Genomic DNA, 13,799 nt, shown 5'->3' on the forward strand with positions numbered 1-13,799 from the left:
GAAATAAATTTCTCAGAAAGAACTGTGGAGAAGAGGATTTAAGCTCGAGTATTATAGGAATCTGAAAGAGACCTAATTGAGTAAGGCTTGGTAGGGATGTAATGCCTGGTACCTCCAGAGGGAAGAGGAAAGGGATCGGTAGCATTCTTCCTGCACATGCCTCTCCCAAGGGTGCAGGATAGCCCCTGAATAGCATTACCCCATGAAGCAAGGAGCTATCACTTAGAGATGATGGATCCAAGAGAGAGAGAGAAAAGCCACATACACCAAGTGTCTCAAACAGGCAAAAAGCGTGTCAGTCCTTCCAGCTGGACTGAAATACCATTCTCAAATAGAAAGGTCAACAGACCTAAAATGGTACCAAACAGTTCTCATCCATAGAAGCCCCACCAAGGGCACAGCACTCTGGTCAGGTCAGACTTGCACACTGGTTAAAGAACTCTCCACTGACGGTCTTGCTCTCTTCCCTTGGTTGGCTTCCTCTTGTTTTCCCTCCACACTCCCTGGCCACCCAGCACTTCCAATGAGCAAACTGTTATTTTAATATACTGTGTGTAGGACATCATAAATTTCAGGTCTTCCAACCTCAAATATTCTGTCCCACTGCCCTGCATTTGTTGGGGCAGTGGGACAGATCTTGGTTTGGAATAGAATATTCCTCTAGCTAGGAGAAATGCTCTCCAGCAGAATTCCATTTCAAGGTGAAGGCATTTCTAAAGACAATAAGTAGGAGAAGGGCAGAATTTATCTGCTAGTGATAACTGGGTAACAGACAGATGGAGAAATTCCCTGCTCTACTTCCTCAAACAGACAGCTTATCTTATTTGTAAAAGGCCTGTCTTCATCACTAACCAAAATTTTCATGGAGCCAGAGACTAGGTTTACTTTTAACCACTGTATCCCCCTAAAATGGCCAGACACTAAGCATGCTAATGGATGACAATTATATTTTGATGAATGGGTAAGTAAATAAGTGAGAGATGAACTTTTAAAATCCACAGGCAAGAAGAAATGTGACGATGTTGCAAAAGTTGGAAACTGAGAGCTTTAGCCAGTGAATTGGTTCTTGTCTAAGAAAATGTGGGCCGGGTGCAGTGGCTCACACCTGTAATCCCGCACTTCGGGAGGCCGAGGTGGGCGGATCACGAGGTCAGGAGATAGAGACCATCCTGGCTAACACGGTGAAACCCCGTCTCTACTAAAAATACAAAAAAAAAATTAGCCAGTCATGGTGGCAGGCACCTGTAGTCCCAGCTACTCACTCAGGAGGCTGAGGCAGAAGAATGGCATGAACCCAGGAGGCAGAGCTTGCAGTGAGCCAAGATTGTGCCTCTGCACTCCAGCCGGGGCGACAGAGCGAGACTCCGTCTCAAAAATAAAAAATAAAAAATAAAAAATAAAGAAAAAAATGTGACCAGCCATATCCCAAGTGATATGGGATGAAAAGAAAAGTGTTGGTAATAATCCCCTGTAATATTGCATAGTGCTTTAGAGAAACTGAAGTACTATCTCAAGGTGTTGAAGTTAGCAGCTTAAGCGGGTAATACAGATTGCAATGCCTTTTTGTCTTCAGGCCATTGGAAGAAAGATGAGGAAGGTTGAACACATCTAAGAATTTCTCAAAAGTGAAAACAGACTTGCATCAGTTTCTACCATGCCTCTGGTGCAGAAATATCAGCCACTGTGGAAACTGGTCTCTGAGTTTCTCCGTAGCTACCGGCAAGCACATTTCATTCATCCTTTATCTTTTTAGTAAGGTGCAAATTTGGTTCAATAATTTTTTTCTGCATCTCTTTAGATGATTCTCTATCTCAACTAAGTTTGAATAAAATGTCCAGCTTTCATTATTTCCTAATGCTCTAGTAATACATTAAGAGTTAACTGGGGTGAAAAGGCAACAAGAAAGCTTGCCAGAGTATAGTTAGAGAATTTCATGACAATTAGCACTGATTTGCACTACAAGAATAGAAAGAAAAAAAAAGAAGTTTTAAAGGGGAAAAAAAGCTACTCACACATACACAACCCAAAAAGAGCCTCCAAGTACTAGCTGAAAATGATACCGTTAGATGACAGCAGAAACACACCAGATTAGCCAATTAGCATTCACCCGAGAAAAGCTAGTGCTTTGGAGGGAGGGGAGAAAAGGAACCCATCAACAGTAATATCAACTTTACAATAGCCTTGACTGGTTATCTACCCAAAGGAAATGCTACCTCCTCACTTTTCTGTGAACCTCTCAACAATTCTGGGGGAAAAAATGTTAGTTCAACATTATCGCAAGCCAGAATATGACTCTATTTATGTGACAGGTTGACAACATACAATTTCATGCTTGTTGAACTGATCGGTGTTACATATTCACTGTGAATATTATGAAGCTTCACCATTATAAATATGAAACAGTATACACTTATTCAAAGTAACTCCAGAAGTGGCAATTTATAGCTTGGTTGTTTGTGTTCTGATGAAGTCCAAATGCCACCTTAAGAAGCTGCAGCTCGCAGAAACAGATGTGCAGTGTGACTGCGACCAAAATGGATTGACGATGACCTATGTGAAAGCAGGCTATTACATTTTGGTCTGCATGGCAGCTGACACTGGTTTGTATTTAGATATGTGACTCTTGGGAACACTGTGTCCTTAAAGCTCTGTTTAAACATGGGCCAAGACATTTGTCTATTGGACTAATTATTTTACCACCCTTCTATGGCAAAGATCACTTTTTTCCCCCTAAAAAAAAAAAAAGGATATGAGAGAGTGTATATGCACATACACAGGCACACACTCTCACTACGCTTTGTAAAATTACAGCAAGGACTTTAAACCTTGGTCATGTCAGGTGAATGTTGGCAAGATTTCCAGAATGTCTGCATAGCAGGATTGTACCACTTTCTTGATCAGGTGCCTGAGAACAGGACAAGACCACAAACCATCAAATCATAAGCTGTCACAGCAACTGCTTTTGGTCAAGTTTTTTCCTCCTCTTCCCTACCTCCTCCCTTTCTTTCTCTTAGCAAGCTTCAACCAATTTACAAGTGTTCGCTTCCACAAGGACAAATTTGGAAGAGTGAAGAACAACACAATTTATCCAAATGTGGGATGAAATGAAGGAACCAGGCACCTTGCTAAAGCTAGATATCAAAAATTTGCATAAGTAGTTTTGCAACCACAGAGGTGCTATTTGGAACAAAATAAATTGCTTGTATTGTATGCAAGGGTACAAACCTTGACCAACTTTGCGGTGTCTTCCCTGCTTGTACATTTCTTAAGCACATCCAGATATTCCTACTAAGAAGTTCAAGTTAGTATCCCTCAATAGGGAGACCTAAAAAGATAATTGTTTGTGGACTTAGAAGTCCTCAACATCTTTATTTGAGAATTAAGAAACATCAGTCCAAAATATTTGAAATATAGAATTAGTTCTCCAGGATGTTCTTGTAATTCTTTTGTTTCTTTTTTGTTTATTTGCTTAATATTAGGTCATATCCCTAGCTCTTTTTTTGAGATCCAGCACAGAAGTCAGTGACTGGAATCCTGGCTCTCTTCTGAAACATTTGAATTACAGTGTTTTGGAATTTCCTATTCTAACAAAGTTTGTTATCCAAACCTGTATCTCTTTCTACTTTTCCTGTTGGGCTAAAGTGAAGGTGTTGTCGGTCTGTCTAGTAAATCCAACCTACGAGATAACATAATCACATACATTCATTTCTCAGGGACCTTGGCGGCTCTTATCTCCTTGCTTTTATGATCTCTTATGAACAGCCCGGAATAGCAATTTGCAGCCTGTTTGTAAAGCCATCTTAGTCTGAACCCAGCCTTCTTCTCTTTTATCACCCAGCGATATTCTTCAGCTAAATCCCATTCGCCACAGCAAAATTTGCTCTGAGATCCATTTTAGAATAATATAAGTATTCTCTGTGTGTATGGAACATATCAAACACGTAATGGAGGGTAATTATCATTTCAATGAACTATTTATTAATAGAAGATGTTTTGTGTGCTTTGCTTAGATTTATTGCTATGCTGCCCACTGTACATTGTAGCTTGAAGCTATTTAGTTCACGTTCATCAGCCTCTCAGGCAAGCAGCTCTGCTGTTCACACAGTTTTGGTTTTTCTATGTGCTTTTTTCAACTTTATTTTACCATTATATCACCTAGAACATTAAACACAATGCTCAAGTTCCACGTGTTAAATCACAATTGCTTTCTACTAAAGTTCCAAGCTACCCATTTTTATTAACAGTTACTTTATTAAATCCTTAATAACACAGATAGCATAGTTAGTTAATTTGTGTGTTGAGCCATGGATGTTAATTTGTAAACATAATAACATACTGCAATCATTTGCATAATAGCATTTTAATCTTTTTAGTAAAAGCTGTAATTCCCTACAAAGTACACTGCAGTAGAAACTAAGTGACTATTGGTAATAATACAAAAGGCCTTAAAATTCTGATCCTATTATAGTGCTGGAGCATACCCAAACTGCTTCCATAATCTCTGAAATGTTACTGTTCTCTGATTTAGGTGTCTGTGTCAAGAATAAAAATGAAGTATAACTGGTAGCAGTAGACTATTTCCTAAATGTAATTTAGTATTCACTAAGCACCAGCATTTTGCAAATAGCTCTGAGGCTTTCCTTCAAAGTTCAGAGCTCCAGCTATGCATATTGTGTGAGGAGGACCCTGGAACTCACTCTCAACTCTGTGCTGAAGAGAGGGCTCTGATAAATCATGCTGATTTGGCGCAGGGAAGGGCATCGGCCACCAGGGATTTGACTACTGAGTCTCCTTCCTCCTCTCTGCCCTACCAGCCTGATTGCTCCTCCTTGAACTGACGGTTTCTGAGCAGAAGTTCAGAAAAGAATGAAAAAGTGCAGTGAAGCTTTAAAAAAGCTAGTTTAAAAAAACTCAATGGGGGCTCACTCCCTCTACAGCCCATTAACACCCATTGTAAGACTGCTCCCCACCCTAACCCCCAAAAAAAGAAAAGGAGAAAGAAAAAAAAAAGTAGTTGTTTAAGTCAGGCCAAGTCATTTTATGCAAGATCTGGTAATTCATTAATCCATCTGGCTGCAAACCTTGAATGAATAACTTGCAGTAGTAATGGAGATGGGCAGGTCTACAAAATATTAGTGTTTAGAATCTGAAACTGTGCAAATCACTCCATCATTTTGGAAAAGAAAAGGCACAAAAGTATCTTCTATCATCACTTTGGGACAAATGGCTTAATGGATAAGAAGTCATTTAGCTTCAAACAACTCTGCCATTGCCAAGAATAAGAGTGTGTATTTCATTGTGGATCTCTCTCCCCTTTTCCCTGCTCTCATTCTAGCTACAGTAAAGCATAGGATGCTGCCTTGCTTTCAAACGTACCTCTGAGCGCACAGTCTTAAAAGTTAAAAGGAGGCCGGGTGCAGTGGCTCACGCCTGTAATCCCAGCATTTTGGGAGGCCGAGGCAGGCGAATCACGAGGTCAGGAGATTGAGACCATCCTGGCTAACACGGGGAAACCCCGTCTCTACTAAAAATACAAAAAAAAAAAAAAAAAAAAAAAAAAAATTAGTTGGGCGTTGTAGCAGTCGCCTGTAGTCCCAGCTACTAGGGAGGCTGAGGCAGGAGAATGGCGTGAACCCAGGAGGGGGAGGTTGCAGTGAGCTGAGATCTTGCCATTGCACTCCAGCCTGGGCGACAGAGCGAGACTCCATCTCAAAAAAAAAAAAAAAAAAAAAAAAAAAGTTAAAAGGAACCTGAGAGGTTAAGAAGAAGAAAAAAAAATGGCCCTTACTGAAATTGTTTTACATCACAGGCAATTCATTTTATAAAACCCACAATAAAATTTTTCATTACTCAAAGAATAGGCACATAATTATAGGGACAAATTAACCTTGTTAGATGTGAAGTCTGGGATAGGGAATGGTGGAGGAACAATTTGGCTCTCTGCTTTAACAATGTGGTCTTTAATGTTCAGCTTTTTATCTGCTTTGTGTGTTGATTCCATCCAGAGGTGAGTCATCTGCTGGGCTGTGCTTCCAGGACCTGGCGTAGAGATAGTGGGGCATGGACAAATAAACACAGCAAGTGTATAAGGTCTCCACACAGACACATGGTTGCTATACAAATAGACAGTTTGTCCAATGCAGCACCCTGAACCTTGTGATTACTTTCACCTACACTATTATCTTTGAAGTAAATCTAAGAAGCAATGAGCCACTTTTTCCTGATTCTGCTCCAAGATTTCCTCCTTGTGAATTTGGGTCTCCACTATTTTGGCCCCAAAGATATCCAGGCAGAGTAACTTTGATGAGCCAGTTGAGACTCCGGGAGGTTGGAAAAACCTACAATAAGCCCATAAAATGTCCCAGTTTACTTTCTGGAGTGCCTAGAGTATCTGACATGAAATCATTGGTTTCTCCTATCCCAAAATACAAAATAGCACTTTCTGAAATCCTTGTGCCTAATGAAACATACACATTCTCACTTTGCAAACTGCAAATGGCTAAGAACCGAATCAACGTCCATAAAAAAAAAAAAAAAAAGCAGCCAATTTCATCTCTCCTAGCCACACCTTCCATTAACAAAAGCCACCAGCAGGAAAGTTAGTGCCAGTGAAAGATGGTCACGTAACCTGCATCCTGTGAGTTGCTATTTATTAGCAGGGGTTGATACCAAGAGACAGAGCCCTGTGGGTCAGAACTCCTGAGCCATATTTTTCCAGTGGTCAGCATAATGGCAGGGAAGAAATAGGGTGATAAACCAGATGTTCCCAAGATAAGCCAGATGTTATCAAGCCGAGAAGTCTAAAACCACAGTGCTTAAATGAGGTGTGTAGATGAACACACACACACACAAACGAACAACACTATTTAGTCTCCCTGCAAGATAAGCCGACAGGAGAGGCTGAAAATAAAGCAGCACACAGGCTGGGTCAGATTGTTGCTTCCTGATTTATGACTCTCCAAGATGAACATCTAACTGATTTATACCCAGAATTTGGAATTTTGTGGTAGACTACAAATGCAAAGATAAGTACAACATAAATTTTTAAAATACTCCATAAGTCTCCATGAGTTTCAACATTCTTCAATGTTCTTATGTTACAGCCAATTATCTCTCCACTTAAATGGCTATTATTTTCTTACTTGAAGTCTATGTTCTCTGTAAGTGTCATTACCAAGTGTGGCAAAAATCTGGCTGTGGGCCGTAAATTTAATTTAAATGACAAACATTTATTGATTGCAAATTGGAAATCCCAGAAATCTTATAAAAGTGATTATTGTAAATTAATTCAGTCCTCCCACATAACAAAAAAGAATTTATTCTTCCAATGATTAAATTAAGGTGAGGTTGTATATACATGCATTCTTTTTTTCTTGTCTATTTGTTTTGTTAAAATTCCAGGAGGTTTGCCATTCATAGAAAAGTCTGTCTGACCACAGGCACAGTCAGAAGCAGGAATTCATTACCATGGAAGGCTGCAGGATTTCCTCCAAGGAGACAAGTGAAAAAAAGCAGACACCACGTAAATTTGTGGATTGGGTTAAATATGTTCTGTCCCTGAGGCAGTGGAAAGATAGAGGGCCCCTTTGTAAAATGACTCACGAGTCTAGGAAAGTACTTCAGCTCCTAAAGGTGAGCAGAAACTTAACCAGGAACGATATCCACGAGGTTCTGCTTCTCTTTGGAATATCTTTGAGTTAGCATTCCTTACCACCTCTCTCTCTATCCGAACTCAGAGTTATCAGGGCTGATGGAATTTTCCTTCAAGGTACTTTGAATCTGTTCCCTGAATGCCACCCCCTCTGCTATCACCTTGTCCCTTCCCTGTACCTGTATCACATTGGGTTTGGAATGCAGCACTGCCTGCTGTCTGATTTTCCGTATTTCCTACTTGCCTACACCTCTTACGACTGTCAGCATTATCACTCTTAAATACCACCTCCATTATGTTGATCTGCTAAAAAATCTTCAATGACATCCTACTTTCTAAACAGACTCTAAACATTTCCAACTGGGTTCTCATGACCCACCGTAATTTTGTACCTACCTTACATCCAAACTTACTCCCACTACTGCCACGTTCCCATTAATATGTATTTTACTTTGAGTAAACCAAGCTCACCTCCACATCCCGTCTATGAAAACGCTCTGCTCTTCTCTTACAAGGCTTTGTGAATTTATTCTTGCTGTTTATCTCCTCAGCTAGAAATACACATACATACACACACATATATATGCATGCATATATGCATACACGAGCTCGCAATGTTTGCAAATTGCAAATATATATATAATCCTATGTAGGTACATACACATATATACATATACATGAATATACAGTCTTGTATTGTTTTCGAATTGCTAAGAACTAAAAACATATGCATATACTTGTATATTTGTATACACAGCCTTGCATGGTTTCCTAATTGTTTTACATTTGTTCATTTTGCCTCCCAAACTAGATTTAAAGTCCTTTAGGACACAGGCCTTCTTTTGTGCTTTGTATATAATCTTCACATTACCTAACGCAGTTCATTCTATCAATAAACACATGAAGATCAACTCACTCATTATGCAACAAGTATTTGTTGAGTTCTTACTTTCTGCTATTTTCTGAGAAAATATCTAGAAAAATGTCAGTGAACAAGACAGGCAGATTCCCTACTCCTCAAATGCTCATGGTCTGTTGAACTGCCAATATTTGTTATTTTTAACTTTTTGATAGGTACATAATATATGTCCATTTTTGCAAAATTTAGAATATAACTGAAAGCCAAATGAAGAAAAGTAAAGTATCTATATTCCCACTAGAATAACCAAGTAGCCTTGAAAGCGTCCACATTCATTTCCTTGATTGCATATAGCAGGATAATTTACACACAAATACAAAACCACCACTCACCCTTTTCTGCTACAAAGTTCACAGTTTCAGGCTTCCTGAGAGTTCCAGCAATGACCAAACATGAACGCTGGCTACAGCTGTGAGAGTCCTTCTCCCCCCATCAGCAAAGGCAGTCCTCAGAACGTATTACAAGTAATGACCTAGAGACGACTGCATTCTCACTTGCCATCATTCTAACGAACCCCAAGTAGCTTCATTCAGAAGTAACAGACGAATGAATGAAAGATGCCCATTCAGTTGTATCATGGAGGCATTAAAGCAGGTGTTAAAATAAACCAGGGACAAGGTTGCCCACAGTGACCCAGAAAGGCCAATATGCTATTTAAACTAACCCCATGCCATCCATCTTTACAGACTGCTGTGCTGCAAAAGTAGTCCTTTATTCTCCTCCTTCAAACAATGCACAAAGGCAACAGAGGGAAGGAAGTTATGTTGCAATATTCTGAAACATAAATCTTGCTACCAGCCGGTCCAGGGACGCATCCTGTTTTCCTTACACATGGATCAGATTCACTGGAGGCTGTTACCTCTGAGCCTTTTGCTTTGTTTTTTAAAGTGGCTTCTGAATCGTACCTGGTCACCTGCATTTACACATCCAAACACAGGTTGCGTAAGCAGAGAACATTGTTTGCGTGTCCAGTTACTCAACCAACATGTGCTATTGCATGTTGCTACCCCTCTGCCACCACCCAGAATTCCCTTTCTCAAATTGTGACATTCAGCTTCATTTTTTATCATTATTAAGTTTGTGATGTTAAATAAAAATTAAACTTAGATTCAAACATATGGAAGAAACAAAAAGAAGAGATACATAATTTACTCTCAACATTTTAAGACTCTGCCACTCTATTATATATCCCTAAATCCCACTTTCTGCTTTGATGAGAATTCAGTCGATGGCCAGTTTCCAGTGGTGTCATTGACGTGCTACTTGAGTCAGGGAAAAGCATTTAACTACTCAGTGCCTGATTTTATTCTGGGAATCCAAAGTAGATAATGCTTGTTATTGTCAGATCAGAGACAGCAGAGCCCGTGACTGTTTAACTTACTCAAGTACAAGGCCTTCTCAAATGTGATGAGGCAGGGCTTTGCAAATTGGAAGAAGGTGAGTGCAGGTGAAAAGTCCACTGTGAGTGGCCGGCCCTGGGAAGGCACTTCCCTGAAATGCTGCTTTGGTAGAAGCAACACAAACCTGTGGCCATGAAAGAGTTATCTGGTTTCATACGAACCTTCTTCACAGGGAAGACCCAATTTTAGAATGTCACCTGTGCTGAAAACACGCTTTCCTTTCACATTACAGAAAAGATGCCTGAGTTTAACACTAGAGGGCAAAGAGTGGAGGTGTCCTCATGCCATGCAAATACTCCTGAAGCTGCTGCTGTTGGTAAGGGCATTGCCACATATGACTTTACCCTTTGCCTCGATAAAGAATGGGCTTTGTGACATCAGAGAAAACTGTTATGGGAACTTACCTAAACAGTCACTTTTGCCCTCTGACACTAAGAGGATACCTGACATATTAGTCCTGGAGCCCCAGGCATCCCGATATCGTTATACGACTTCTCATTCTTTATATCCAGTAGCTTACTATGTCTTCTCTCAGAAATCTGACCAATTAATCATTAGTAATTTATAAAGGGGAAGCCTGTGACTTTATTTAAAAGCAGGGTTTTTCAACCTCAGTGCTTTTTTCATTGGAGGCTGAATCATTTTTTGTGGTGGGAGCTGTCCTGTAGGCTGTTGGATGTTTAGCAGCATTCCTTGTCTCTAGTCTCTACTCAATAAATGCTCGTAGCATCCCCTTGTCCCCAGGGATAACAACCAAACATGCCTCCAGATATTGTCAAATGTCCCGTGAATTGGGGTGTGGGGCGGGGACCAAAATCGCCTTTGGTTGAGAATCATTGGTTTAAAATGACCTAATGAGAGACTAAATTAAATGAACTTCTGTTTTAGAGTGCTGAAAATAATTTTATTAGCATAGAATATGATACAGGGAGACAAAAAGGGTGGCATGGCATATATTAAGCACCTACATGTAGATAATTAACTAGATGCTGAACCAAGTCTCCTGAAGGTATAAATGCAAAGTACCTCTCACAAATACCACAACACAAAATATAGGGACATAAAAGTTATGGAGAAAGTTGTATTTTTTTTAAAGTAGCCCACCAGAGAGGCATTGACTCCTATGCCATCTCCCCTACCGCTAAGTTATTCTCTAGCCTCTACAAAATGCATGGCATTCACCTGATATGAAATAGGTGATTTTTAGATAAGAGGTCTATGGAGATGGACATTTTTTAAAGCATTGTTTATTTAATGCAGCATGACTTAGAATGGGCCTGTAACTTGACAAGTGTACTGAGTGAGGAATGTTCAATTTACCAGTTCTAACTGGCCAAGTCCTCACATGAACTTTCTAAGACCCGGCTGAGAAGCCTGGGAAAGTAGAACTAACCACAACCTTCAGTGTTCCCTCCACCTTGTTCTGTCTCCCCAGTCCAAACTCTACTACCTTAAGCATTCTTCTAAAACCCACTTAATCTCCAGAGGTATTACAAAATCTCAGCCATAGGCAGAACCTACAGCCGTCTCGGCTCACCAGCTAACTCTACCTCCGTGCCAACCAACACTGAAAGGAAAGATTCTGTTCTATTTTTAAATATATTGAGCAAAGAAGCAGCTTGATATGTCTTTGTAAAGGATGGCTGTCACCCAAATTCATGGGTTCTCTATTTTTATCAAGGATATAAACTTTGAAGTCCGATAAATTTGGGGTTCAAATCCCAGGTCTTTATTGTCAACTGTGTGATTTGGGGAAAACAAATAACCTCTCTGAGTTTCAGTGTCTGCATATGTAAAACAGGAATGATAACAATAGGACCTAACAATAGGTTGTTTTCAAGGATAAGTGAGATGACATATATTAAGCATGAGTATACCAAAATGTTGGCCATTATTGTCATTACTATTATTGTTATCAACATTAATATATTCATCATTCTCTCATGATTTAACAAACATTTATTCAGCATGTATTATATGCTGGGTTCCAGCAAAACTCAGTTAATATTTTAAACTTGGCTTTCTTAAGACTCAGATTTCAACCAAATAACATGGAAGTATAAGAAATGTCTTTGCTGATGAATAAGAAAAGTCCAGCACATAGTAGGTGCTCAGAAAACATTAGATGATGATGATGATGGCACTGGCGGTTGTGATAAAGAAAACTAGCCGATATGTCATCCTTCGTTTAATTCACTTGCCAGAGTACTCACTAAATGTTTGTTCCTATAAAAAATAATGTATTTCAAGTAAATGAGTACTGATCTTGTGGGAAAGAATTCCTTTTCTCAAAGTAACACTTTAATAGGAATAGATTAACATTCTTTATTATAGGGTAGGCTTATAATAAGAGTCCGGAGTCACGGAGGTAATTCTTGCTACTGAAAAGTAAATGAATTTTGACTGATTTATAAGTATACAGTAGATTAGTCAAGTTTAGCAATTCCCATTATATAAAGAAATTAGAGATATGAACCAAAAATATAATTAATAATAATAATCAAAAGAGCTCACCTAATTAGTAAAGCAAACAAAGGTAGACATCTACCCCCTTGGTTAAAAAGAAAGGCCTTCTTATTTATTAATTTATATGAGGTACCATTTATTGCTCATTCTTTCTGTGGGAAATAGACAGGAATAAACAGGTTTAGACTTTTGTTCTTCTTTGTCACTAATCTTTCACAACCCTTTAGTATTTCAACACAGTTTAACTCACTCACAGTTGTTGATTCCTAGTCCCTAGTTGATTTATTTTTTAAATCTTTAAAAAAATAAAAACAAAACATTTGTTTTCCAAATGCTGTTTTTCCATAAATTAGAAAGTATGTAACTGTGATGAAAAGTCTTTTGATGATAGCAAAGTAAGAACTCATTATGCATTCAGGTCTATTACCATGTTAGTCGGGCCCAAGCCAAACTCAATGAAAAATTAATGTTTCCAAAGGATGTCCTTACCTCAAATATGTTTGAAGGCTCATTGTTGTACTGATTGGATATTATTTCTGATTGGTCACTGCACCACTTGAGTCCACCCAGAAAGCTGTCTGTATCCAAGTCGTTCACATCTAGTTCAGAAAGATCAAGTTCAGGAAGATCTGGGCAAAGAGGCTGGTCTTCACCAACCAGAGCAGCACACTGCAGGAGGCAGAAAAAAAAAATTTAAAAAAGCTTCCATTAACCACAGGAATTTATTAAACTGCAATAGCATGTGATAGGAATTAAGCCTAGTTAATTCAACTACACTACCAAAGCTAGTTTCTGGCACTTTAATCACCAGGAAAAACATCCTAAAATCTTTACTCACTTGGCTCCTGAAGGATAATTTCCCTGCTTTATTCCATCCAAAAGCTACCTCCAAACACATGGTAAATACCAAGCTCCACGAAGCTTTCTCTGATTCTTCCAGTTAGAAATCAACTAGATATTTTTGGACCTCTTTGTACAAAATCCTTGATACCTGTTTGATAGTTACTGCTTCCAAAGTTTTAAACTGTCTTATAGTTAACCATAATACAAACTTGATTTTACCTTGGAAATTTTATCACACATAATAGACACTCAATAAACTATTGCTAAATGGAAAAAGAACAGAGGAACTACACTAGGAAAAATTTTCTCCATTTACACTCCTTTTAAGCATTATAATCCAAATAATTCATTTAGCAACTAATGATGCAAAGCCCTTTGACTCATCTGTGGTTCTCCTGAATTGTTATTTAAATCATTTACTCTTATTTGACTCTTCATGACTTTCTGGACTTCATCCTTAAAGGCAAAAGCAAGTTCCTTAAGATGAAGGACAAAAATCATAATTTTTTTTCTATACGGC

General features: G+C 38.9%; 1 protein-coding gene across 29 annotated transcripts in view; it reads right to left on the reverse strand.

Annotated features, from left to right (window-relative positions):
- The window catches only part of PPARGC1A (PPARG coactivator 1 alpha), a 680,885-nt gene that overhangs the window by 79,806 nt on the left and 587,280 nt on the right, over window positions 1-13,799 (reverse strand). For 19 of the 29 annotated variants that reach the window (NR_148982.2, NR_148986.2, NR_148981.2 and 16 more), the window contains one exon: window positions 12,926-13,105. Coding sequence is in view for 18 of the 29 variants with exons in the window: in NM_001354827.2 (NP_001341756.1) it covers window positions 12,926-13,105 (180 nt within the window). In the remaining 11 variants the exon portion in view is untranslated. Of the gene's footprint in view, window positions 1-5,887; window positions 6,040-8,122; window positions 9,428-10,131; window positions 10,289-10,852; window positions 13,108-13,799 lie in introns of those variants that run through there. The other 10 variants (NR_148983.2, XM_047449550.1, NM_001354826.2 and 7 more) reach the window with 10 other exon arrangements.

Source organism: Homo sapiens, chromosome 4 (genome assembly GCF_000001405.40).
Source record: "Homo sapiens chromosome 4, GRCh38.p14 Primary Assembly".
In the NCBI taxonomy this organism is placed as follows: domain Eukaryota; kingdom Metazoa; phylum Chordata; class Mammalia; order Primates; family Hominidae; genus Homo; species Homo sapiens.